The 26,922-nt window shown below is 40.8% G+C and overlaps 4 annotated features.

Moving 5' to 3' along the window:
• Window positions 334-968: an enhancer, noted in NCBI's record as "OCT4-NANOG hESC enhancer chr7:125563618-125564252 (GRCh37/hg19 assembly coordinates)". NCBI's record gives its function as "activates a minimal SCP1, AML or CMV promoter by ChIP-STARR-seq in primed H9 embryonic stem cells {active_cell/tissue: H9 hESC(primed)}" and the evidence as "EXISTENCE:reporter gene assay evidence [ECO:0000049][PMID:30033119]".
• Window positions 8,348-8,934: an enhancer, noted in NCBI's record as "OCT4-NANOG-H3K27ac hESC enhancer chr7:125555652-125556238 (GRCh37/hg19 assembly coordinates)". NCBI's record gives its function as "activates a minimal SCP1, AML or CMV promoter by ChIP-STARR-seq in primed H9 embryonic stem cells {active_cell/tissue: H9 hESC(primed)}" and the evidence as "EXISTENCE:reporter gene assay evidence [ECO:0000049][PMID:30033119]".
• Window positions 8,935-9,522: an enhancer, noted in NCBI's record as "OCT4-NANOG-H3K27ac hESC enhancer chr7:125555064-125555651 (GRCh37/hg19 assembly coordinates)". NCBI's record gives its function as "activates a minimal SCP1, AML or CMV promoter by ChIP-STARR-seq in naive and primed H9 embryonic stem cells {active_cell/tissue: H9 hESC(naive and primed)}" and the evidence as "EXISTENCE:reporter gene assay evidence [ECO:0000049][PMID:30033119]".
• Window positions 14,137-14,731: an enhancer, noted in NCBI's record as "OCT4-NANOG-H3K27ac hESC enhancer chr7:125549855-125550449 (GRCh37/hg19 assembly coordinates)". NCBI's record gives its function as "activates a minimal SCP1, AML or CMV promoter by ChIP-STARR-seq in naive and primed H9 embryonic stem cells {active_cell/tissue: H9 hESC(naive and primed)}" and the evidence as "EXISTENCE:reporter gene assay evidence [ECO:0000049][PMID:30033119]".

Raw genomic sequence — 26,922 nt, 5'->3', positions numbered from 1 at the left:
GCTGGGAGAAAATACTGTTTCTGGAAACCCAGAAACAATTCTGTTTTGTTATTCTTAAGCATTTCTGTGCAGTGAATATCTAAAGGAATAAGTTGAAATTAGGAAGCAGTAAGTAAACACATGGTCATAAACTGAAAAACTTACATTTTGTTTTCTTCATGCAAGAAGTGTTGGATACTTTCTGCTTTCCCTTCCAGATCTACCGTGTACACATGTACTGTTTTTTCCTCGTGTCTCACAGCAGCAGACTCCAAGAAAACTTGGGTTTTCACCAAGTGGGTTCTTTATGCAGGTGTGGCAAATGTCAATCTTCCTCAGGACTGGCAGAGGAGAGAAGGACAGAGAGTAAATGAAGAGAAACCTGTAGGCTTTTGTAAATACAATCATTTAATTTTTTCAAACTCTTAAATATAGGGTAGTTTCATGCACTTCCATGTGAAGAGACCACCAAACAGGCTTTGTGAGAGCAATAAAGCTTTTAATCACCTGGGTGCAGGGTGGCTGAATCCAAAAAGAGAGTCAGTGAAGGGAGAAAGGGGTGGGGCCATTTTATAGGATTTGGGTAGGTAAAGGAAAATTACAGTCAAAGGGGGGTTGTTCTCTGGCGGGCAGGTGTGGGGGTCACAAGGTGCTCAGTAGGGGAGCTTTTGAGCCAGGATGATCCAGGAGAAGGAATTTCACAAGACAAAGTCATCAGTTAAGGCAGGAACAGGCCATTTTCACTTCTTTTGTGGTGGAATGTCATCAGTTAAGGCAGGAACCGGCCATCTGGATGTGTACGTGCAGGTCACAGGGGATATGATGGCTTAGCTTGGGCTCAGAGGCCTGACATTCCTGTCTTCTTATATTAATAAGAAAAATAAAACAAAATAGTGGTAAAGTGTTGGGACGGTGAAAATTTTTGGGGGTGGTATGGAGAGATAATGGGCAATGTTTCTCAGGGCTGCTTCGAGTGGGATTAGGGGCGGCGTGGGAACCTAGAGTGGGAGAGATTAAGCTGAAGGAAGATTTTGTGGTAAGGGGTGATATTGTGGGGTTGTTAGAAGAAACATTTGTCGTATAGAATTATTGGTGGTGGACTGGATATGGTTTTGTGTGAATTGAAAAACTAAACGGAATAAGAGAAGGAGAAAAGCAGGTATTAAAGGTCTAAGAATTGGGAGGACCCAGGACATCTAATTAGAGAGTGCTTAAGGAGATTCAGCATAGTCCTGCCAGCAAAGATTATTTATTTACTTTAACAGTTAAGAGTGGCAGTTTGGGGATAGCACCAGGAGGTATCAGCTGTGATGGCTTGGAAAAACAGTGTAAACCGGCAGTGTAAACAAGAGCAGCGCATGTATAAGTAGTTGAGAATGGTGAATAGGAGTATGACTAGACAGAAGATAGTAGGGATGACAAGTTTTTTGGGGCACAGTCTAAGTTGGTATGGTGTCTGGAATGAGACTGGGGCCTAATAAAAAGGAGCATCTAAACAGGAGCTCAAATGGACTGTACCTTGTAGCATTCTGAGGACAGGCCTGAATTCTGAGAAGGGAAAGTGGTAAAAGTATTGTCTAGTCCTTTTTAAATTGGTGGCTGAGCTTGGTGAGGTGTGTTTTTAAAGGACCATTAGTCCGTTCTACCTTTCCTGAAGACTGAGGACTGTAAGGGATATGAAGGTTCCACTGAATACCAAGAGCCTGAGAAACTGCTTGCGTGATTTGACTAGTAAAGGCTGGTCCATTATCAGACTGTATAGAGGTGGGAAGGCTAAACCGAGGAATTATGTCTGACAGAAGGGAAGAAATTACCATGGTGTCCTTCTCAGACCCTGTGGGAAAGGCCTCTACCCATCCAGTGAAAGTGTCTACCCAGACTAAGAGATATTTTAGTTTTCTGACTCAGGGCATGTGAGTAAAGTCAATCTGCCAGTCCCGGGCAGGGACAAATCCCCGAGCTTAATGTGTAGGGAAGGGAGGGGGCCTGAACAATCCCTGAGGAGTAGTAGAATAGCAGATGGAACACTGAGAAGTGATCTCCTTGAGGATAGACTTTCATGATGGAAAGGAAATGAGAGGTTCTAAGAGACGGGCTAGCGGCTTGTAACCTACATGGAAGAGGTTATGAAATGATGACAGAATAGAATGGGCCCGTGAGGCTGGAAGGAGATATTTTCCTTGGTCTAAGAACCATTTGCCTTGTGTGGGAAGAGATTGATAGGTGGAAGTTCCAGCGGGAGAGTAGGTGGGAGTAACCGATGTGAAGGAGAAAAACTGGCCGTGAGGGACAGAAGTTGGAGAGCTAGCTTCTTGTCTAGCCACCTTATCAGCATAAGCCTTGCTGTGAGAGACAGAAGTTGGAAAGCTAGCTGCTTGTCTAGCCACCTTATCATCAAAAGCATTGCCTAGAGCAATGGGATCTGATGCCTTTTGATGCCTTTTGCAGTGAATGACCCCAGCTTCCTTTGGAAGTAAAGCGGCCTTGAGCAGACTTTTTATTAAAGAGGCATTAATGATGGAGGACCCTTGTGTAGTGAGGAAACTTCTTTCAGCCTATACGACCACATGGTGGTGCAGAATATGGAAGGCATATTTAGAGTCAGTATAAATATTGACGCATTGTCCTTTCGCAAGAGTGAGGGCTTGAGTTAAGGCAACTAGTTCGGCTTGCTGAGAGGTAGTGGAGGGGGGCAGAGTGGTAGCCTCAATAACAGATGTGGAAGATACTATTGCATAGCCTGCCTTTGCTGGTGAGTGGCGATTAGGCCTGGTGGAACTGCCATCAATAAACCAAGTGTGATCAGGGTGAGAAACAGGGAAGAAGGAAATGTGGGGAAATAGGGTGAACGTCAGGTGGATCAGAGACATGCAGTCATGAGGGTCAGGTGTGGTATCCGGAATAATGTAGGAGGCCGGATTTAAGTCCAGGCCAGGAACAATGGTAATTGTGGGAGACTCAACAAAGAGTGAGTACAGTTGAAGGAGCCAGGGAGCAGAAAGTATATGCATCAGGTGTGAGGAAGAAAATAGATTTTGGAAATTATGAGAGCTGTAAAGAGTGAGTTGAGCATAGTTTGTGATTTTGAGGGCCTCTAAAAATATTAGGGTGGCAGCAGCCGCTGCACAGAGACATGATGGCCAGCCTAAAACAGTAAGGTCAAGTTGTTTGGACAAAAAGGCTACAGGACACGATCCCGGTCCTTGTGTAAGAATTCCGACTGCACAGCCCTGCACTTTGGCTGTGTGTAATGAAAAGGGTTGGGATGAGTCAGGGAGAGCTAGCGTCGGGGCAGTCTCTAAAGCTGTCCTCAAGGAATGGAAAGAGGAGTGGGGAAAGGATTTAAGATCTGTGGGGTCAGCTAGGTTTCCTTTTGTGAGTTTATATAATGGTTTTGTTAGGATGGCAAAACCAGGTATCCAAAGGTGAAAGTTTCTAACCATGCCTAGGAAGGAAAGGAGTTGTTGTTTTGTAGAAGGGGTTGGGGTTTGGGAGATTAGTCAGACATGATCAGCAGGGAGAGCACGTGTGTTTTTATGAGAATTATGCCGAGATAGGTAACAGATGAGGATGAAATTTGGGCTTGATTGAAGTAATGGGGGCTGTCTGTGAAGCCTTGTGGCAGTACAGCCTAGGTAATTTGCTGAGCCAAATGGGTGTCAGGGTCAGTCCAAGTGAAAGCGGAGAGGCTGGGATGAAGGGTGCAAAGGAATAGTAAAGAAAGCATGTTTGAGATCCAGAACAGAATAATGGGTTGTAGAGGGAGGTATTGAGGATAGGAGAGTATATGGGTTTGGCACCACAGGGTGGATAGGCAAAACAATTTGGTTGATAAGGTGCAGATCCTGAACTAACCTGTAAGTCTTGTCTGGTTTTAGGACAGGTAAAATGGGGGAATTGTAAGGAGAGTTTATAGGCTTTAAAAGGCCATGCTGTAGCAGGCGAGTGATAACAGGCTTTAATCTTTTTAAAGCGTGCTGTGGGATGGGATATTGGCATTGAGTGGGGTAAGAGTGATTAGGTTTTAATGAGATTGTAAGGGGTGCATGATCAGTCACCAAGGAGTGAGTAGAGGTATCTTATACTTGTGGGATAAAGTGGGAGGATACGAGGGGGGGGATACGAGAGGAGGATGCAAAGGAGGCTTTGAACTGGGGAAAAGGGCAGCAATGAGGTGTGGCTGTAGCTAATAAGGGAACTGGGCAGGTGGGGATAACTAAAAAAGATTGCATAAAAGAATGTTGTCTAAGTTGGCACCAGAGTTGGGGAGTTTTAAGAGATTTAGAAGCCTGGCCGTCAATACCTACAACAGTTATGGAGGCAAGGGAAATAGGCCCTTGAAAAGAAGGTAATGTGGAGTGGGTAGACTCCATATTGACTAAGAAGGGGATGGACTTACCTTCCACTGTGAGAGTTACCCAGAGCATCTGTGATGGTCCTGTAGGTTTCGGAGGCAATCGGCCAGTGTCAGTCTTCAGCTGCTAAGCCGAGAAGATCTGAGAAGGAATCAGAGAGCCTTGGGCCAGAGTTCCAAGGGCTCTGGGAGTGGCTGCCAGGTGAGTTGAACAGTCTGATTTTCAGTGGGGTCCCACACAGATGGGACTTGGCTTAGGAGGAATCCGGGGCTGTGGGCATTCCTTGGCCCAGTGGCCAGATTTCTGGCACTTGTAGCAAGCTCTTGGGGGAGGAGGTTCTGGAGGAACCCCTTGCAGCTGTGGTTCAGGCATTTGGAGTTCTTGTGTGCTGGAGATGTGGCTGGGGTTTGTCTCACAGTGGAGGCAAGGAATTGCAACTTAGAAATACATTGCTACTTGGCTGCCTCTACTCTATTATTGTGCACCTTGAAGGTGAGGTTAATTAAGTCCTGTTGTGGGGTTTGAGGGCCAGAATTTAATTTTTGGAGTTTTATTTAATGTCAGGAGCAGATTGGATAATAAAATGTATATTGAGAATAAGACGGCCTTTTGACCTTTTAGGGTCTAGGGCTGTAAGGCGTCTCAGGGCTGCTGCCAAATGAACCATGAACTGGGCTGTGTTTTTATATTTGATGAAAAAGAGCCTAAACACTATCTAATTTGGGAAAGGTTGGATAAAGAAAAAGGACCATTAACCTTGACTATGCCTTTAGCTCTAGCCACCTTTTTAAGAGGAAATTGCTGGGCAGGTGGGGGAGGGCTAGTCACGGAAGGAAACTGTAAGCTGGACCAGGTGTGAGGAGGGGAGGTGATAAAAGGATTATAGGGTGGAGGAGCAGAGGATGAGGAAGAATTGGGACCTAGCTTGGCCTGGCGAGGAGGGGAGAGGTCCCATGGGTCTCTAGAAAAGGAAGATTAGAAAGACTCAGCGACACTTGGGGTTGGGACTGAGGGGACCGGTGGGAGGGAAAGAAGGAAGATTGGGACGAGTTGCATTGGGCACAGACTAGGAAGGGACTGATGTGTAAAAGAATGCCTGGATGTCAGGCACCTCAGACTGTTTGCCCATTTTATGACAAGAATTATTTAGATCTTGCAGGATGGAAAAATTGAGAGTGCCATTTTCTGGCTATTTGGAACCACTGTCGAGTTTGTGTTGGGGTCAAGCAGCATTGCAGAAGAAAATAAGGCATTTAGGTTTTAGGTCAGGTGTGAGTTGAAGAGGTTTTAGGTTTTTAAGAACACAGGCTAAGGGAGAAGAAGGAAGAATGGAGGGTGGAAAGTTGCCTATAGTGAAGGAGGCAAGCCCAGAGAAAAGAGAGTAGAGACACGGAGTGAAGGGGTTCGGGGGTTCTTACCTTCCAGAAAAGCAGGAAAGGGGTCAGGGTGCAGAAATAAGGGGTTGGGGCACAGAGATAAGAGGTCGGGGTGTGGAAATAAGGGGTTGGGGCACAGATATAAGAGGTCGGGGCATAGAAATAAGGGATCGGGGTGCAGAGTCAAGAGGTCGGGGTGTGGAAATAAGGGATTGGGGTGCAGAGATAAAAGGTCAGGGTTCCTGCCTCTCCCCTAGAAAAGTGGGACTTGCTGCTAAGGGTGAAGGGGCAGGGGTTGAGGGGTTCTTACCCCTCCCCCAGAAAAGCAGAGAAGGGGTAGAGACATGGAGAGAAGGGGTTGGGGTTCTTGCCTCTTCCTTAGAAAAGCAGGACTTGCCACTAAGGGTGAAGGAGCAAGGCAGGTGTCCCTGTGTGGTCTGACACCTCTGAAACCTGGGCGAATAATCAGAGAGGTGTCCCTGCAATGATTAAACACCAAGGGAAGGCTGCCTTCCCAGTCCGTGACCAGCGCCGGAGTTTTGGGTCCAAGGATAAAACGTGTCTCTTTTGTCTCTACCAGAAAATGAAAGGAATTGAAATTAACAGAAGGGAGAGATTGAAGTGTGGCACCAAGATTGAAAGGATAAAGAGGTTGAGGGATAGTGAGGGAGGTTGGAGAACAGAGTAAGAAGAGGCCGCTTACCGGATTTGAAATTGGTGAGATGTTCCTTGGGCTGGTGGGTCTGAGGACCAGAGGTCATAGGTGGATCTTTCTCATGGAGCAAAGAGCAGGAGGAAGGATAAGGGATTGATCTCCTAAGGGAGGTCCCCCAATCCCCGGTTTTGGCACCAAATTTCATGAGCGTCGATGTGAAGAGACCACCAAACAGGCTTTGTGTGAGCAATAAGGCTTTCAATCACCTGGGTGCAGGCTGGCTAAATCCAAAAAGAGAGTCAGCAAAGGGAGATGGGGTGGGGCCATTTTATAGGATTTGGGTAGGTAAAGGAAAATTACAGTCAAAGGGGGGTTGTTCTCTGGCGGGCAGGTGTGGGGGTCACAAGGTGCTCAGTAGGGGAGCTTTTGAGCCAGCATGAGCCAGGAGAAGGAATTTCACAAGACATTGTCATCAGTTAAGGCAGGAACAGGCCATTTTCACTTCTTTTGTGGTGGAATGTCATCAGTTAAGGCAGGAACCGGCCATCTGGATGTGTACGTGCAGGTCACAGGGGATATGATGGCTTAGCTTGGGCTCAGAGGCCTGGCAGGTAGTATGTGAATAAGTAAAATGAAAGTTTGACAAGTATATATGGCCATGATTTTTTTTTTTTTTGAGACGGAGTCTCACTCTGTCGCCCAGGCTAGAGTGCAAGTGGCGTGATCTTGGCTCTCTGCAACCTCCTCCCAGGTTCAAGCAATTCTCCTGCCTCAGCTTCCTGAGTAGCTGGGACTACAGGAGCCCACCACCATGCCTGGCTAATTTTTATATTTTTAGTAGAGATGGAGTTTCACCATATTGGCCAGGCTGATCTTGAACTCCTGACCTTGAGATCCACCCACCTTGGCCTCTCAAAATGCTAGGATTACAGGTGTGAGCCACTGTGCTCAGCCTGGCCATGACTTTAAAATTAAAACATATACTACAGTTTTTGGAAAAAAAATTATTTACAGTTAGGAATACATTCTTTAAAAAACCTTTTAGAAACTGGAAATATAAATCACCATGGCCTGTTTTAGGTGTCCGTTATGTGTATTAACACACTTCTATATTATAATACATGCAAGGATTTATGGCTTTCATTTATATTCACCTTTCTCCTACTGAAAAGCTTTTGAGAGAAGAAATTATGTCATATCTACTTTTTGTTGTAGCATTTCTCCCTTTAACCATTTCTGGCATATGGTATGTACTAACAAGCTTTTGCTGAATAAACAGATGAACAGTTAATTAAAAGCAAAGTTTGTGGATAATCATGAAATTAATATAGTTTCTACCCAGTTACTTTTGTATTCAGATAATTCAGTGTAATCATTGGGTTACAACCACAGCAGCAGAAACAATGAAGTGAATCTTCAAATCAGTATGCAACCCTGAATAAAGCAACTTAATTCAAAATTGACTGTGTTTCACAATGTGGAAGCAAATTGTGTGTTTCTTTTTTCTTTTTTATAAGTATACCAGCACTTCTGGGTGCAAACTCATGCCTCAAGATGCTTACAATAATCAGATAGATCTGTGTATTGGGGGCAGTTAAATGCATTAATGGCATGATCCATAACCATCATCCAAAGCATGGAGATGGTAAAAGACATATACCTGCTAATCTAAATCAGTAAAAGAAAATAACCTGTATATTTTCCCTGCTTTCAAAAGGAATGCAAAAAACCATCATCTCTCAGCAAATCAAAACCCTCATATGCCTCCATCTTTTCCTTTCAAATATTAGTATTAAATGTTTAAGGAGAAAAAAGGTCATTTGTCACTATTATAAATCAATTTGATTTAAATTTTCCTCTTGCTTTTCTGGAAGAAGTCTCAAATTTGATGGGTAATGAAGTGAAATAGTCAATGCCAAAGGCTCAGTTACTCTGCATGGTTTTTATTGTAATAGCATCCACAAATGTGTATGTCTAGCTTTAAAACGAATCACTAAAGCACATCTTTTAAAATGCTTTAGTGCAGAGACAGCAATGAAAAGGAGAGATCTCAAATTACTCCGAGTAGAAGTAATTCAGAATATTTTTCTTGAAATTGGGCATATTTTAGTGAAATATATACAGCTCTAGGGCTCTAGGAAATGCTTTTAATGGGAATAATACACTTAAAAAACAAAAAATCTTATTTTTTCCCTGTGATTGTTTATACAATTTTGACTCAGTAATATTATCAGGACTATAAAATAATTAGTAAAATAAAACATATATGATTAATTGAAGTGATAGCCTTCAAATGTGGACACACATGAGCAGCTATAATCATCACCACTTCATGATCATAGCTCACTGTAATCTCAAACTCCTGGTCTCAAGGGATCCTCCCACCTTAGCCTTCTAAGTAGCTAGGACTACAGGTAAACACCACTTTCATGCGCTTCCCTGTGAAGAGACCACCAAACAGGCTTTGTGTGAGCAATAAAGCTTTTAATCACCTGGGTGCAGGTGGGCTGAGTCCAAAAAGAGAGTCAAGGAAGGGAGATAAGGGTGGGGCCGTTTTATAGGATTTGGGTAGGTAAAGGAAAATTACAGTCAAAGGGGTGTTGTTCTCTGGCTGGCAGGAGTGGGGGTCGCAGGGTGCTCAGCAGGGGTGATTTTTGAGCCAGGATGAGCCAGGAAAAAGACTTTCACAAGGTAATGTCATCACTTAAGGCAAGGACCGGCCATTTACACTTCTTTTGTGGTGGAATGTCATCAGTTAAGGTGGGGCAAGGCATATTCACTTCTTTTGTGATTCTTCAGTTACTTCAGGCCATCTGGGCATATACGTGCAAGTCACAGGGGATGCGATGGCTTGGCTTGGGCTCAGAGGACTGACATTCCTGCCTTCTTATATTAATAAGAAAAATAAAACAAAATAGTGTTGAAGTGTTGGGGCAGTGAAAATTTTTGGGGGGTGGTATGGAGACAGAATGGGTGATATTTCTCAGGGCTGCTTCAAGCGGGATGAGGGGCGGCGTGGGAACCTAGAGTGGGAGAGATTTAGCTGAAGGGAGGTCTTGTGGTAAGGGGTGATATTGTGGGGATGTTAGAAGAAACATTTGTCATATAGAATGATTGGCGATGGCCTGGATATGGTTTTGGATGAATTGAGAAACTAAATGGAATAACAGAAGGAGAAAAACAGATATAAAAGGTCTAAGAATTGGGACAACTCAGGATATCTGATTAGAGAGTGCCTAAGGAGATTCAGCATAGTCCTGCCAGCAAAGATTATTTATCTACTTCAAGAGTTAAGAGTGGCAGTTTGGGGATAGCACCAGGAGGTATCAGCTGTGATGGCTTGGAAAAACAGTGTAAACCGGCAGTGTAAACAAGAGCAGGGCATGTATGAGTAGTTGAGAACGGTGAATAGGAGTATGACTAGACAGAAGATAGTGGGGATGACAAGTTTTTTGGGGCACAGTCTAAGTTGGTCTGGTGTCTGGAATGAGACTGGGGCCTAATAAAAAGGATCGTCTATACAGGAGCTTAAATGGGCTGTACCCTGTAGCATTCTGAGGACAGGCCTGAATTCTGAGAAGGGAAAGTGGTAAAAGTATTGTCCAGTGCTTTTTAAGTTGTTGGCTGAGCTTGGTGAGGTGTGTTTTTAAAAGACCTTTAGTCCATTCTACTTTTCTTGAAGATGGAGGACTGTAAGGGATATAAAGGTTTCACTGAATACTAAGAGCCTGAAACACTGCTTGGCTGATTTGACTAATAAAGGCTGGTCTGTTATCAGACTGTATTGAGGTGGGAAGGCTAAACTGAGGAATTATGTCTGACAGAATGGAAGAAATGACTGTGGTGGCCTTCTCAGACCCTGTAGGAAAGGCCTCTACCTATCCAGTGAAAGTATCTACCTAGACTAAGAGGTATTTCAGTTATCTGACTCAGGGTATGTTGAGTAAAGCTAATTTGCCAGTCCTGGGTGGGGCAAATCCTCGAGCTTGATGTGTAGGGAAGGGAGGGGGCCTGAATAATCCCTGAGGAGTAGTAGAATAGCAGATGGAACACTGAGAAGTTATTTCCTTGAGGATAGATTTCCACAATGGAAAGGAAATGAGAGGTTCTAAGAGGCGGGCTAGTGGCTTGTACTATAGTATAACCTGCCTTTGCTGGTGTGTGGCGATTAGGCCTGGTGGAACCGCCATCAATAAATCAAGCATGATCAGGGTGAGGAACAGGAAAGAAGGAAATTTGGGGAAATGGGGTGAATGTCAGGTGGATCAGAGAGATACAGTCATGGGGGTCAGGTATGGCATTAGGAATAATGTGGGAAGCCAGATTGAAGTCTGTGCCAGGAACAATGGTAATTGTGGGAGACTCAACAAAGAGTGAGTACAGCTGAAGGAGCCGGGGAGCAGACAGTATATGTATCAGGTATGAGGAAGAAAATAGATTTTGGAAGTTATGAGAACTGTAGAGAGTGAGTTGAGCATAGTTTGTGATTTTGAGGGCCTCTAAAAGTATTAAAGCAGTGGCAGCCACTGCACACGGACATGAGGGCTAGGCTAAAACAGTAAGGTCAAGTTGTTTGGACAGAAAGGCTACAGGGTGTGGTCCTGGCTCTTGTGTAAGAATTCTGACAGTGCTAATCAAGCCTAGCAAGGAAAGGAGTTGTTGTTTTGTAGAAGGTGCTTGGGTTTGAGAGAGCAGTCGGACACGATTGGCAGGGAGAGCACCTGTGTTTTTATGAGAATTATGCCAAGATAGGTAACAGATGAGGATGAAATTTGGGCTTGATTGAAGTAATGGGGGCTGTCTGTGAAGCTTTGCGGCAGTACAGCCTAGGTAATTTGCTGAGCTTGATGGATGTCAGGGTCAGTCCAAGTGAAAGCGAAGAGAGTCTGGGATTAAGGGTGCAAAGGAATAGTAAAGAAAGCATGTTTGAGATCTAGAACAGAATAATGGGTTATAGAGGCAGGTATTGAGGATAGGAGAGTATATGGGTTTGGCACCACAGGGTGGATAGGCAAAACAATTTGGTTGATAAGGTGCAGATCCTGAACTAACTTGTAAGCCTTGTCTGGTTTTAGGACAGGTAAAATGGGGGAATTGTAAGGAGAGTTTATAGGCTTTAAAAGGCCATGCTGTAGCAGGTGAGTGATAACAGGCTTTAATCTTTTTAAAGCATGCTGCAGGATGGGATACTGGCCTTGAGTGGGGTAAGGGTGATTAGGTTTTAATGACATGGTAAGGGGTGCATGATCGGTCACCAAGGAGGGAGTAGAGGTATCTTACACTTGTGGGTTAAGGTGGGGGGATACAAGAGGAGGACGCAAAGGAGGCTTTGGATTGGGAAGAAGGGAGGCAATAAGATATAGCTGTAGTCCAGGAATAGTCAGAGAAGCAGATAATTTAGTTAAAGTGTCTCAGCCTAATAAGGGAACTGGGCAGGCGGGAATAACTAAAAAGGAGTGCTTAAAAGAGTACTGTCTAAGTTGGCACCAGAGTTGGGGAGTTTTAAGAGGTTTAGAAGCCTGGCCATCAATACCAACAACAGTTATGGAGGCAAGGGAAACAGGCCCTTGAAAAGAAGGTAATATGGAGTGGGTAGCCTCCGTATTGATTAAGAAGGGGATGGGCTTACCTTCCACTGTGAGAGTTACCCGAAGCTCGGCATCCGTGATGGTCTAGGGGGCTTCCGAGGCGATCGGGAAGCATCAGTCTTCAGCTGCTAAGCCGAGAAGATCTGGGAAGGAGTCAGTCAGAGAGCCTTGGGCCAGAGTTTCAAGGGCTCTGGGAGTGGCTGCCAGGTGAGTTGAACAGTCTGATTTTCAGTGGGGTCCCACACAGATGGGACACGGCTTAGGAGGAATCCTGGGCCGCGGGCATTCCTTGGCCCAGTGGTCAGATTTCCGGCACATGTAGCAAGTTCCTGTGGGAGGAGGTTCTGGAGGAATGCCTGGCCGCTGCGGTTCAGGCGTTTGGAAGTTCTTGTGTGCTGGAGATGTGGCTGGGGTTTGTCTCACAGTGGAGGCAAGGAATTGCAACTTTTTTCTATTATTGTACACCTTGAAGTCGAGTTTAATTAAATCCTGTTGTGGGGTTTGAGGGCCGGAATTTAATTTTTGGAGTTTTATTTAATGTCGGGAGCAGATTGGGTAATAAAATGTATCTTGAGAATAAGACGGCCTTTTGACATTTTAGGGTCTAGGGCTGTAAAGTGTCTCAGGGTTGCTTCCAAACAAGTAATGAACTGGGCTGGATTTTTATATTTGATGAAAAAGAGCCTAAAGGCTATCTGATTTGGGATAAAGAAAAAGGAGAATTAACTTTGACTATGCCTTTAGCTCCAGCCACCTGTTTAAGAGTAAATTGCTGGGCAGGAGGGGGAGGGCTAGTCACGGAACAAAACTGTAAGCCGGACCAGGTGTGAGGAGAGGAGGTGATAAAAAGATTATAGGATGGAGGAGCAGAGGCTGAGGAAGAATTGGGACCTAGCTCGGCCTGGCGAGGAGCAGCCTGGGGAGGAAGGGAGAGGTCAGATGGGTCTGTAGAAAAGGAAGATTAGAAAGACTCAGCGATGCTTTGGGTTGGTACTGAGGGGACAGGCGGGAGGGAAAGAAGGAAGATTTGGGATGAATTGCACTGGGCACAGAGACTAGGAAGGGACTGATGTGTAAAAGAATTCCTGGACGTCAGGCACCTCAGACCGTTTGCCTATTTTACGACAATAATTATTTAGATCTTGCAGGATGGAAAAATTCAAAGTGCCATTTTCTGGCTATTTGGAACTACTGTCGAGTTTGTATTGGGGTCAAGTGGCATTGCAGAAGAAAATAAGGCATTTAGGTTTTAGGTCAGGTATGAGTTGAAGAGGCTTTAAGTTTTTGAGAACACAGGCTAAGGGAGTAGAAGGAGGAATGGAGGGTGGAAGGTTGCCTATAGTGAAGGAAGCAAGCCTAGAGAAAAGAGAGAGTAGAGAAATGGAGGGAAGGGGTTCGGGAGTTCTTACCTTCGAGAAAAGTGGGAAAAGGGGTTGGGGTGCAGAGAAAAGATGTCAGGGCACAGAAATAAGGGATGGGGCACAGAAATAAGGGGTCAAGGCATGGAAATAAGGGGTCAGGGCACGGAAATAAGGGGTCGGGGCACAGAAATAAGGGATTGGGGTGCAGAGATATAAGAGGTTGGGGCGTGGAAATAAGGGATTGGGGGGCAGAGATACAAGGTTGGGGTGCTTGCCCCTCCTCTAGAAAAGCGGGACTTGCCACTAAGAGTGAAGGAGAAGGGGTTGGGGTACTTGCCCCTCCCCCAGAAAAGTGGGACTTGCCACTAAGGGTGAAGGACCAAGGCAGGCGTCCCTGCGTGGTCTGACACCTTTGAAACGTGGGTGAATAATCAGAGAGGCGTCCCTGCAGTGATTAAACACCAAGGGAAGGCTGCCTTCCCAGTCCGTGACCGGCGCTGGAGTTTTGGGGCCACGGATAAAACGTGTCTCCTTTGTCTCTCCCATAAAATGAAAGGAATTGAAATTAAGAGAAGGGAGAGATTGAAGAGTGGAAAGGAGAAAGTGGTTGAGGGACAGTGGGAGAGGTTGGAGAAGAGAGTAAGAAGAGGCCGCTTACCTGATTAAAATTGGTGAGATGTTCCTTGGGCTGGTCGGTCTGAGGACCTGAGGTCGTAGGTGGATCTTTCTCATGGAGCAAAGAACAGGAGGACAGGGGATTGATCTCCCAAGGGAGGTCCCCCGATCGAGTCACGGCACCAAATTTCATGCACGTCCCTGTGAAGAGACCACCAAACAGGCTTTGTGTGAGCAATAAAGCTTTTAATCACCTGGGTGCAGGTGGACTGAGTCCAAAAAGAGAGTCAGCGAAGGGAGATAGGGGTGGGGCCGTTTTATAGGATTTGGGTAGATAAAGGAATATTACAGTCAAAGGGGGGTTGTTCTCTGGCGGGCAGGAGTGGGGGTCACAAGGTGCTCAGTGGGGGTGCTTTTTGAGCCAGGATGAGCCAGGAAAAGGACTTTCACAAGGTAATGTCAACAGTTAAGGCAAGGACCGGCCATTTACACTTCTTTTGTGGTGGAATGTCATCAGTTAAGGTGGGGCAGGGCATATTCACTTCTTTTGTGATTCTTCAGTTACTTCAGGCCATCTGGGCATATATGTGCAAGTCACAGGGGATGTGATGGCTTGGCTTGGGCTCAGAGGCCTGACAACCACCATGCTTAGGTCAATGCTAAACAATGTCTTTCAGTGATACTGGAAATGGAAAATCTAATATAACACTTTTTCTAAGCATGTGGCTTACAGTTTTTTTGTTGATTATGGTATGTTTTCTGTTGATATTAATGATATCATATTCATTAGATATAATACATGTGAAATTCTGTTTTTTTATTTACTAATTTGTCCTACAAGTTGAAATCTTGCAGTGCTATATTCTAACTCTACACAGCAACCTACTTTATGACTCTAAGATTGCCACTTTTCACTTTTAGCTAAGAGCTCTAAATAGATGTAAGAATTTTCAAGTTGTTACAAAATGGCAAAATATTTGGGAGCTCACAAATAATACATGTGAATAATTTAAAAAAATATAATTCAGTAAATTTATGACTCACAAGTTATAGATAATCAATTTGAAACAATGAATAGTCAAAGATATAACTACCATAAATTTTAACTGACTAATATAAACCTCAGGCACTAGCTAGAGTCACAAATTCTTACATGATTTTATAAAACAAATAGAAATTTAAATGAGCAAGCAAAATAATTGAATCAAGATGTTGACTATTAAGGTTCTCTATTCAATAAGCTTAATTGTTCCTTTACCACTTTTCAAAGTAAGTAAATAGATTTATTTACTACTGTGAAATTATACTCCTTAGTATTTCTAATGAATATGTTTATAACAATTAGTATTATAACTAATATTAAAATTCATAATTAAAATACAGAAGGAAACTTGAAAACTTAGACAATTCCATGAAGCTGTTATCAGAAAAGAGTCCTGATGTAGACCCCAGGAGAGGATTCTTGGATCCCGTTCAAGAAAGGATTTGGGGCGAGACCATAGAATAAAATGAAAGCAAGTTTATTGAGAAAGTAAAGGAATAAAAGAATCGCTAGTCCATAGGCAGAGCAGAAGCATGGTTGGCCATTTTTATGGTTATTTCTTGGTTATATGCTAAACAAGGGGTAGATTACTCATAAGTTCTCTTGGCAAAGGGTGGGCATTTCCTGGAACTAAGGGTTCCTCCCCTTTTTAGACCATATATGGTAACTTCCTGAAATTGCCAAGGTATTTGTAAACTGTCATGGCGCTGGTAGGAGTGTGTTTTGTTTTGTTTTGTTTTTTAGCATGCTAATGTATTTTAACTAGCATATAATGAGCCATGTGGACCACCTGTGGTCACTCCAATTGTCATCTTGGCTTTGGTGGGTTTTGTTCAACTTCTTTACTACAACCAGTTTTATCAGCAAAGTCGTTATGACCTGTATTATTTTGCCAAACTTGACCTCCTATCTCTTCCTGTGACTTAAAATGACAAACCTTCTGGAAATGCAGCCCAGTAGGTCTCAGCCTCATTTTACCCAGCCCCTATTCAAGATGAAGTTGCTCCAGTTCAAATACCTCTGAAAAAGCCAATGATTAATGAATAATCTTTGAATAATGCTACTTATAGTAACATGGAGTTTTTATTAATATTGATTTTAAAAAATTTAAAATAACTCCATTTTAAAACACCTTAAAACAACTGTGTGTGTATGTGTATTTGTGTGTGTGTGTTTTAATTATTTGTTATCTATTTGTGTATTTTACTATAGTAGGCATGATGCCAGCCTATTTGAGCTGGCACAATTTTACCATCTAAGAATTTAAAATTTAAGTTAGAAAACACAGATGTGAAGACACACAAAACTTAAAAACGAACAAAACCCCTAAATTATTGTTGAATGAAAGTAGTGTCTTTAAGTATCTCACACATCTCTTTTTGTACCTGTCTGTACCTTTTCTCATTATTCATCTACTACTGTTACTACTATTCATTTATTTTTCTTATAAATTTGTTTAAGTTACTTATAGATGCTGGATATTAGACCTTTGTCATATGCATAGTCTGCAAAACTTTTCTCCCATTCTGTAGGTTGTCTGTTTACTCTGTTGATATTTTATTTTGCTGTGCAGAAGCTCTTTAATTAGATCTTATTTGTTAACTTTTGCTTGTATTGCAATTTTGCTTGTATTGTAATTGCTTTTGGTGTCTTCATCATGAAATCTTGGCCTGTGCCTATGTCCTGAAGGGTTTTGCCTGGGTTGTCTTCCAGGATTTTTATAGTTTTAGTTTTACTTTTAAGTCTTTAACCATCTTGAGTTAATTTTTGTATACGATGTAAGGAAAGGGTTGAGTTTTAATCTTCTGCATATCGCTAGCCAGTTTTTCCAGCATCATTTATTGAGTAGGGAGTCATTTCCCCATTGGTTGTTTTTTCTAATACCTGGGTGATGAAATATCTGTACAACAAATTCCCATGACACAAGTCTATCTATATAATACACCTGCGCATGTACCTCTGAACTTAAAATAAAAGTTAAGAATTTTTCATTTATATTTTAAGCTTCTCAAAGTGAAAATCTGCGTTTGATTTACTTAGCAGAGTGTATTGATCACAGTAATCATGTATTAAGAGCTCAGCAAATATTTGCCTAATGAGTGAATGATTTATAAGTAAAATAAACCATACCTCTGGTGGAAAATAAGTGACAGAAATATTAGGAATATAAGATCTGTGCACAAAGATACTCAAGGAATTTTTTTTTCCTGTTTTGTAAAAGCTTGGGAGTAAAACTTTAACCCAACTTTATTGGATTCAATGTGAGAAAAGACATGGGTAATTAGATGAGGGCAGCATGGTATGCACTGAGGACAAACAGTGAAGGAAGAGGTTGGTGGGTAAAAAACCATCTTGGATTACCCTAGTGGAGGACTGACACATATAGTGTGAAGACTTGTAAATAAAAGAAAGATGTAATTTTGGCCAGGCACAATGGCCCACACCTGCAGTCCCAGAACTTTGGGAGGCTGAAGTGGGTGGATCACCTGAGTTTAGGAGTTCAAGACCAGCCTGGCCAACATGGTGAAACCCAATCTCTACTAGAAATACAAAAAATTAGCCAGGTGTGGTGGCTGGTGCCTGTAATCCCAGCTACTCAGTAGGCTGAGGCAGGAGAATTGCTTGAACCTGGGAGGCGGAGGTTGCAGTGAGCCGAGATTGTACCATTGCACTCCAGCCTGGGCAACAAGAGAGAAACTCCATATTAAAAAAAAAAAGATACAATTTAAAAATTTTAATATAATGATTAGAGATGGCTTTTTGTGCAATAATATTAATAGTTAAGGTGCTGTGTTTGGTCTCTCAGACTAACCTCAATCTCTAGCCATTGGAAGAACTCACAAGACTCAGAAATTGTTATACACATAGTTATAGTTTATTTCAGAAAAAAGATACAGATTAAAATCAGCAAAGGGAAGGGTGCATGAGGTGAAGTCCAAGAGTAACCATGTACAAGCTTCTACCTGTCCTTTCCCGTTGGAGTTACACAAATGCACTTAATTTTCCCAGCAATGGTATATGACAACATATGTGAAGTGTTACCAACCATAAAAGCTCACCTGAGCTTTGGTGTTCACAGTTTTTACTGCGGGTCAGTCATGTAAGCATGCAATATTTTTGTACTCCAAACACCCAGAGCAAAAACAGGTGTTTAGCACAAATTACATTGTTATGTTGTTAACATGAACTATCTGATCAAACTGGTACTACTTGGCCCATGGCCTGAGGCATACAAACACAGGAGTTCACCATAGATTACATGGTTAGCATAAATTATCTGATGAAGTTGAATAACAGGGGCTAAGCCCTCAGGCATACGAAGACATTCTTATCAGGGAGAATATCCCATGGGCTCAGAACTCATCCCCTTAGAGCTTGCCTAAAGCCAGTCCTAAAGACAGGTATTTCTTGGAAATGTTCCAGGTTTTAGGAATGCAGAATTTTCATTTGTGGATGCCACAAAGACTATCATGAATAAGAAAAGATATAGTGGTATAGTATGTAATAGTTTTACAAATTTGTTCATTTATATTGTTTAAATTCACAGATAAAATTGTCATGTATGATATGATTTTAATAAAATAACTGTTATTTCAGATATTTAATTTTGAAATGCAAAGCACTGAATACAAACTGAACCATGAAAAGGAAAAATGCTAAATTTGAAGGTAATAAAGACAAATAAACAAAAGAAAAAGTTAAATAGAAAATATAAAATAGTAGCCAGATGCCATTCTAGCAAAAAGACACATGTACTCATGTTCATCGCCACACTATTCACAATTACAATGACATGTAATCAACCTAGGTGCCTATCAATGGTGGAGTGGATAAGGAGAATGTGGTACATATATATCATGGATTACCACACAGCCATAAAAAGGAACTAAATAATGTCCTTTGCAGCAACATGAATATAGCTAGAGTCCATTATCCTAAACAAATTAACATATGAACAGCAAACTAAATACCACATGTCTCACTTATAAGTGAGAGTTAAACATTGAGTACACATGAACTTTAAAATGAGATCAATAGACATTGGAGACTACTAGAGGAAAGAGAGAGAGAAGCAAGCAAGTGCTGAAAAACTACTTATTGGGTACTGTGCTCACTATCTGGGTAATGGGATCATTTCTACCCCAAGCCTCAGCTTCATGAAATACAGTCATGTAACAAACCTGCACATGTACCCCCGGAATCTAAAATAAAAGCTGAGGAAGTGGAAGTGGAGCATGAGGGCCAAATAGAAGTCTCTACCAATCATCCTCTCTGTAGGAACACCAAATTGAACAATTATCCACACAAAAAAGCACTTTCATAAGAATCTAAAATCAACTGAGTGATCACAGTATCTGGTTTTAACTTCATATCACTGAAAGTGGCACTGAGGAGGACAGAAAAGACAGTCCTGAATTGCCAATGCCTCCCCTCCCCTATCCCACAGCAGTGGCCACCACAGTGCAGAAAGATAATCTGTGCACTTGGAGGATTGAGAACACAGTAATTGTTCTGACTTTGAAGTCAGAGAATGTTGGAACTTCAATATAACTGTTAAGTGAAGAAAGAAAGAAAAAAAATCACTGAATCCCTTCAAGTGATTCCCATGTTCCTGCTCTGTTGCAGGACTTTGCTGAGAAAAAAAAAATAGGCTGACAAAAAAATGTAGCATGAATAAAAGGAAAAAGCTAATAAGAACCTATACTCATCTTGTGTTATTAAGACAAAGAATGGAAAATAGCTAAGAGTTGAAAATGGGTACACTTCCTTTTTATGATATCTCCTCAAACTTTGCTTTTTTAAAAAATTGAAATTATTTTATCTATTCATTTGCATTCCTAATGTATTATTTGTACAAAGATAGAGCTGGACATTAATTATTTTTGAATTTTTCCCTTACTCTGAATGCATAGTCACTACTTGCTATCACCAAGGAATATTATTTCAAAAATGGTGATTTACATGCTCATTTAAGGTATAAGATTATACATTATTTTTACTATGTAGTTTTTCACTATTTTTCTAATTGTAGACCAAGAATGAGCAAGTTGCTGATTCACATGCTCCCCTAATGCACACTGCATCCTGACAGTGTCTAGCACGAAGTTCAACATAAATATTTGCTTTAAAATGGCTAAGTCTGGAGTTTTTACGTATTGATCTTTCTAAACTTGGATCACTTTTAAAGCTAGTAATGGTAAAGCAGCTGATTCATCACAATCTAATAGTAACAGAATTTTCAACAAAAGCTTTGATTCTCTAGGCTTAAGCCTACATTTCCTCAAAAGTGTGAAGAATATCATTCCTTTGAAAGATGATTTTCAGATATATTTTAATCAAAGTTAGCATATTTTGCTGTCTTCATCCAAATATACAAAGTAGGACAAGGCTTCCTTTTATATACTTTGAATTGTTTATTAAATTTTATTGACATGAATGCTAGTGGGTTAAAATATTTAATGAACTACCGACAAGGCCCTGTATTTGTAAGGCTTCTGGCCACTGACATTACTGCTTTAGCCTGAATGTCAGCCTTATCCTCATTAGGGCTCTGCTCCATCTTTCCTTTTCATGCCCAGAGTCTCTCAGGACCACTTCCATGCCATTATTAATCATTACACTAGGCATCTGATTACCCAAGCCTCTATTTACACAAAAAGGACACTGATGACCAGGATCTTTGTCAGAATGGCAAGGTAGCAAGCATTTGACCACAGGCTCACTGATTCAGAGTCCCTGATTCCTACAAACTTACATCCATCAGGAGACATCTAAAGGCACTTTTTAAAAAATCTGATGGATGCTTAAACCCCAGGACCTTCATAACCTTGGTCATAGAGTACTAAGTAAAGCCCTCTCCTTATACTTCCTCAGAAGTTTTTCACTATATGATTGACAGTGTGTTGTCTCCTAAACTTCTCTTTGAGAAGACAGCTCCCTGCCTTCTCAAAACTTTCAGCTTTGTATTTTGGAACTTTCAGTCCATGATACAGAGATCTCTTATATCCTCATTTTTTTTTTTTCCTTAAAAGTTTCTCTATTTTCTTGATTTATTTGCAACCTAAGGCTCTCTCGAGGGCATTGCTTCCTACGCATCCATATAAAATGCAGTTTCTTCCATAACCATAAACCTCAGGGTTTAGAGGTAATAGTAACATTCTCAACACTCTTTAATGCTATTTCCTATTTATCCTGTATTCAAGCAGAAAAATAAGATTCAATCCACACCAATAATTCCTTCCGTCATACAATACCCATTGATTGTAAGCAACTAATTCATGATCTTGCTCTCTATCTGAGGTGTTGCCATCATTCCACATGGCCTCAAAAGTCTTGAATAATCCATCCCATGTTTCCTCCTTTATCTCTTCCTTGATATGTAGTAGAATTCCATTCCATTTAAGGTCCACTGTGTTAGAGGTTGTCATGATCCTGCACTGACTCAATTAAAAAGCACTCACTTTGAAGAAAACTAGTTGTTTTCATTAAGTTAATGCCCTTACAGCATTATTATTATTATTATTGCCTTTTGTTAGTCTTACAGTGCCTTAGCCTCTTTCACTTCTCCCCTGTAGCTAGCTATTTCTATGTTCATTTCACGTTCAGTTTAAACTCCATCATTTCAGTGATTTTCTTACATTTATTCTTGAACTTTTTCAGTTGTCCTTCTGTTGCCACTCCCTGGTAAAACATCTCTGGATCAATCTACTGTCCTAACTTCAGTTGCTTAATACTCCTGGAGCCATTAGGAATTCATGATCTCAAATCTCCAAAAGGTCTTCAATAGTTATTCTCACCATGTCTTTATTTCCTTAATGAGTTTTCTCCTATTTTCCACTTTCTTCCCTTTACTGGCCCCAAAACGCTTATTATGTCAGGTTCCACCTAATTTTTAGCACACGATCTAAGTCATCATGTAAGTCCCAAGCAGTAGAAGTCCATTGATCTACTAACAGTTATGCCACACTTAGTGCCTTAAAACTGCCATTTTACTATGCTCATGATTTTCTGGGTCAGGAATATGGAACTAACTTGGCTGATTTGCTCCCATCCATGTGAGATCTTTTGGAATGGTTAAGGTTGGAGAACCCATTTTCAAATAACTTCTTCCCACAGTATTCCTTGGCTCCTCTCTCATCACCTGGCCCTCAATTCTCCTAGGCATCTACACCTGGCTTGGGTGTGATTGTCTCAAGAAAGTCAGTCTTCCCAGGTGAAGACTGGCTTCTAAGTACCAGCATTCCAATAGGGGGAAGCAGAGGTTACCATATTAGAATAATTGACCTAGGACTGACACATGACCATTTCTACCATACTTACATGTTCAAAGAAACTATTAGGCCTGATCAAAGGTGGGGGTATGTAGACTAGACTTCTTAATGGGGCTGTGGCTAATTCACTTTAAAGAAGAATATGTGGGATGGAATCTATTGTTGCAGCCAAAATACAATCTAACACAAAGACAAAGGACCCTCTTGACTTCTTGCCATTAAATTAATAAATATACTCACATCAACACCTACCCTTCTTTACTTCTCTTCTGTTGTATTAAAATAACTGTGCTATTCATGGTTTAAATCTCATTCTGTCTTTGCTTTTTTAAGAAATGATTTTGATAATAGTTCTTTTGTCTTTTGTATCTTCCAAATTTATTTCCTATTATTATTTAAAATAATTTGAGAACTTATTCATAAAATGTCCCTTTCTTAAGATGTCTGTGTAAGTCTTCTGAGATTCAGACCCAAAGAGGAGAGTAAACGTGGAGATTTTATTAGACAAAAGCCTATGTGAAAAGAAACAGGAAAATATCTTGGTAACGATGAGAGGACCAATCAGATAGTTATATAATTTAATCCTCAGTGATAGAGAAAGAGAAAGTTGTGTGGAAACTGCAAACTTTATCAAACGTTCAACATTAACCACTTGCAGGTACATGGTTTGCAATTTTTTTTCCCCATTCTGTAGGTTGCCTTTGCACTTTGTTGTTTCCTTTGCTGTGCAGAAACTGTTTTTTTGATTTGTTTTGTTTTTTTTTAGATGGAGTCTTGCTCTGTCACCAGGCTGGAGTGCAGTGGCATGATCTCGGCTCACTGCAACCTCTGCCTCCCAGGTTCAAGCAACTCCCCTGCCTCAGCCTCCTGAGTAGCTGAGACTACAGGCATGCGCCACCACACCTAACTAATTTTTTGTATTTTAGTAGAGATGGGGTTTCACCATATTGGCCAGGATGGTCTCGATCTCCTGACCTAGTGATCTGCCCACCTCAGCCTCCCGAAGTGCTGGGATTACAGGTGTGAGCCACCATGCCTGGCCATTAAACTTTTTTAATGTTATCCCACTTGTCTACTTTTGCTTTTGTTCCTGGTGCTTTTGGTGTCATAGCCAAGAATTGTTGCCAAGACCGATGTAAAGCTTTCCTCCTGTTTTCTTTGAGAAGTTTTATAGTATCAGGTCTTATATTTAGATTTCTAATCCATTTTGAGTTGATCTTTATGTATGCAATAAGATAGGGGTTAAATTTCATTCTTTGGCATGTGGATATCTAGTTTTCCCAGCACGTTTTGTTGAAAAGACAAACTTCCATTGCGCATTCTTGGAATCCTTGACAAAGTCAGTAACTATGTAGTTCATAAAATTCACTTGGGGTCTTCTGTTCTGTTCTATTATTCTGTCTATAAGTCTGTCTTTATGCCAGCTGCATACTGTCTTAATTACTGAAGCTGCATAGTATATTTTGAAGTCAGAAAGTATGAGGCCTCCAAATTTGTTTTTTTTTTTTCCTCAAGATTCTGGGTCTTTTGCAGTTGTAAATGCATTTTAGGATTGCTTTTTTCTATTTCTCTAAAAAAAAATCCCATTGGAATTTTGTGTGTGTGTGTGTGTGTGTGTGTGTGTGTATGTGTGTGTGTCAAGGTCTCTCTCTTTTGCTCAGGATGGAGTGCGTTGGCTCAATTTCAGCTCACTGCAACCTCCATCTCCCCAGTTCAAGTGAGTCTCATGTCTCAGTCTTCCAAGTAGCTGAAACTACAGGTGCATGCCACCATGCCCAGCTAATTTTTGTATTTTTAGTAGAGATGGAGTTTCACCATGTTGGCCAGGCTGGTCCCCAGCTCCTGACCTAAAGTGATCTGCCCACCTCGGCCTCCCAAAGTGCTGGGATTACAGGCGTGAGCCACTGTGCCTGGCTCCATTGGAATTTTGATAGGAATTGTATTGAATCTGTAGATTGCTTTAGGTAGCAAGGATTATTTTAATAACATTAATATTTTTAATCCATGAACACAGGTTATCTTTCCATTTATTTATGTCTTTAATTTCTTTTGTCAATGTCTTGTAGTTTTCAGTGTATGGGTTAAGTTTTTTTCCAAGTACTTTATTTGTTTTAATATTGTTGTAAAAGGGATTATTTCTTACTTTTCTTTTCAATAGTCTACTGTTAGTTTAGTGAAACATAATTTTTGCATGTTGATTTTGTTTCCTACAACTTTACTAAATTGGTTTATTAGTTCTAACAGTTGTCTTGTTTTGTTTTATTCTTTGCAGTCTTTAGGGGTTTTATATAAGATCATGCCATCTACAAGCATGAACAATTTAACTTCTTCCCTTCCAATTTGGATGCCTTTTATTTATTTTTTTAATCTATTTGCTCTGGCTAGAATTTCCAGTACTATGTTAAATAGATGTAGCAAGAGTTGGCCTCCTTGCCTTTTTCCTGATCTTAGAGGAAACACTTTCAGGTTTTCACCACTAGTTGTGATGTTGTCTCTGGGCTTTTCGTATTATAGCTCTTAACATGTTGAAGTATATTCCTTCCATACTTTGTTGATAATTCTTATTGTAAAAGAGTGTTGAATTTTGTCAAATTTTTTTCTGCTTCTATTGAGATGTAATTTTTATCTTTCATTCTGTTAATGAGATATATCACATTAATTAATTTGCATATGTTGACCCATCCTTGCATCCCAGGGATAAATCCCACTTGTCATGGTGTATGATGCTTTTAATGTATTGTTGAATTCAGCTTGCTAGTATTTTGTTGAGGATTTTTCATGTATGTTCATTGGGGATGCTGGCTTGTATTTTTTTTTTTTTTGTGGTGTCTTTTTCTGACATTGGTATCAGGGTAAATGGGATATTATTCAGCCCTAAAAAAAGATGAAAACCTTGTCATTGGCAACAACATGGATAAACCCGAAGGGCAATATGCTCAGTGAAATAAGCCAGTCACAGAATAACAAATTCTGTATTATTTTATTTATATGAAGTACTTAAAATAGTCAAACTCATAGAAGCAGAGAATAGAACAGTGATTACCGGGGGTCAGGGGAAGAGGGAAATGGGAAATCATTGTCAATTGGTATAAAGTTTCAGTTATGCTAGATGAATTAGCTCTAGGGATCTACTGTATCACTTAGTGCCTATATCAACAATACTGCATTGTGCACTTAAAAATTTGTAATGAGGTAGTTCTCATTATAAGTGCTTATACCATAAAAACAGAGAGGAACACAGGGGAACTTTCGGAAGTGATAAATACATCTTTCATCTTGACTGTGGTGATGGTTTCACAGGTTTATGCATACGTCCAAACTCACAAAAATGTGAACATTTAATATGTGCAGTTTAAGAAAATGTGTATATCAATTATTCCTCAATAAAGTCACTTACAAAAAAGTTTGACAAAGTCATCAAGGAGTGCTTGAGCCAATGTCAACCTCTGTAGGCCAGAAATGGTCTACTTGAGATCCATCCCTGCCACACTTAGTTATTGGTGAGATAACCCTGTAGAAGGTGTGGCCTTGATGCAGATGCTGCAATGAATTTTAAAGATCAGCTGCTGGGGGTCTTTGTCACTTGTGCTCCTGGTAGTAGGAGGTACACTAGTTGCATTCTCAGGGCTGCCACATTTGTCTCTATGTGAGTAGTCAGCTACTACCTTCTTTATGTCTTCATCTTCAGGGTCCCATTCCTTGAACACAGTTTCTCCCATCATTTTTCTACTTCTTCACCTCACATTCGTACATTAATCAAGTTCATCAGTCTAATTCAGAAGTTTATGACTTCTTCTTAACCACTTCATGAGAAATATTGTTTTAAATTCACCCATATGTTTTTGCTGCTATCACCAATACATACTTTTCAATTTTACTCTTAGTCTCTGAGGTACATTCTATCTGTGAAAATAATCTTCTTTTGAAACACTTTCACAAAAATATCATTGTTTTGTTTCTTTTTGATTTTTAAATCTTGTGTTCTTTTTCCTTGACATCTGCTTCTCACTCAAATTGGTAGTTGACATGTTTCACAGGATCATAATATCATTCTACCAATCTCTGTGCTCAAATACAATTTATATACCACTTAAATGTTAAGTTAAATCTCAGGCCCAGATGTCTCTCTTTGAGCTTTAGACCCAGCTATCCAACTGCTCTTAGATACCCCACATATGTTCCTCAAATGCAAGTACAAAATGAATAATCTCCCACCAATCTTATTCTCATGTTCAATGTATAAAATAATCACGTTGGTGTTTTCTCAACTGTCCAGGTCAGGAACTAGAGCAGTATATGGTCCCCTTATCTTCATAACTGCTGTTCACATGCAATTTATTGAGCACTGTTGAATCTTGGAATCAAACACCCACTACTACTGCCCTGTGTTAAGCCACTATCATGTTTATCTTTGGATTAGTAATTTAACAAAATGTCTTAGGTTCTTTGTATCTTTATTCTTAAACTCATTAATGTATTCTAAACTATAGCCTAATCTTATATTGCTTAGCTTACAACATGTTTATATTATTCAACATGTTATACATATTCAATTTACAGAATAAATAAATGAAATAACATGTGAATAGAAATTTGGAAAATAAATATTCCAACTCAAATTCTACCATTAACTAACTACGTAGTTTTGTCATTCTAAATTTTATTTTCATTTTTCTTCAT

This window comes from Homo sapiens, chromosome 7, assembly GCF_000001405.40.
Source record: "Homo sapiens chromosome 7, GRCh38.p14 Primary Assembly".
Lineage (NCBI taxonomy): Eukaryota > Metazoa > Chordata > Mammalia > Primates > Hominidae > Homo > Homo sapiens.
This window is presented reverse-complemented; position numbering and strand designations above follow the sequence as displayed.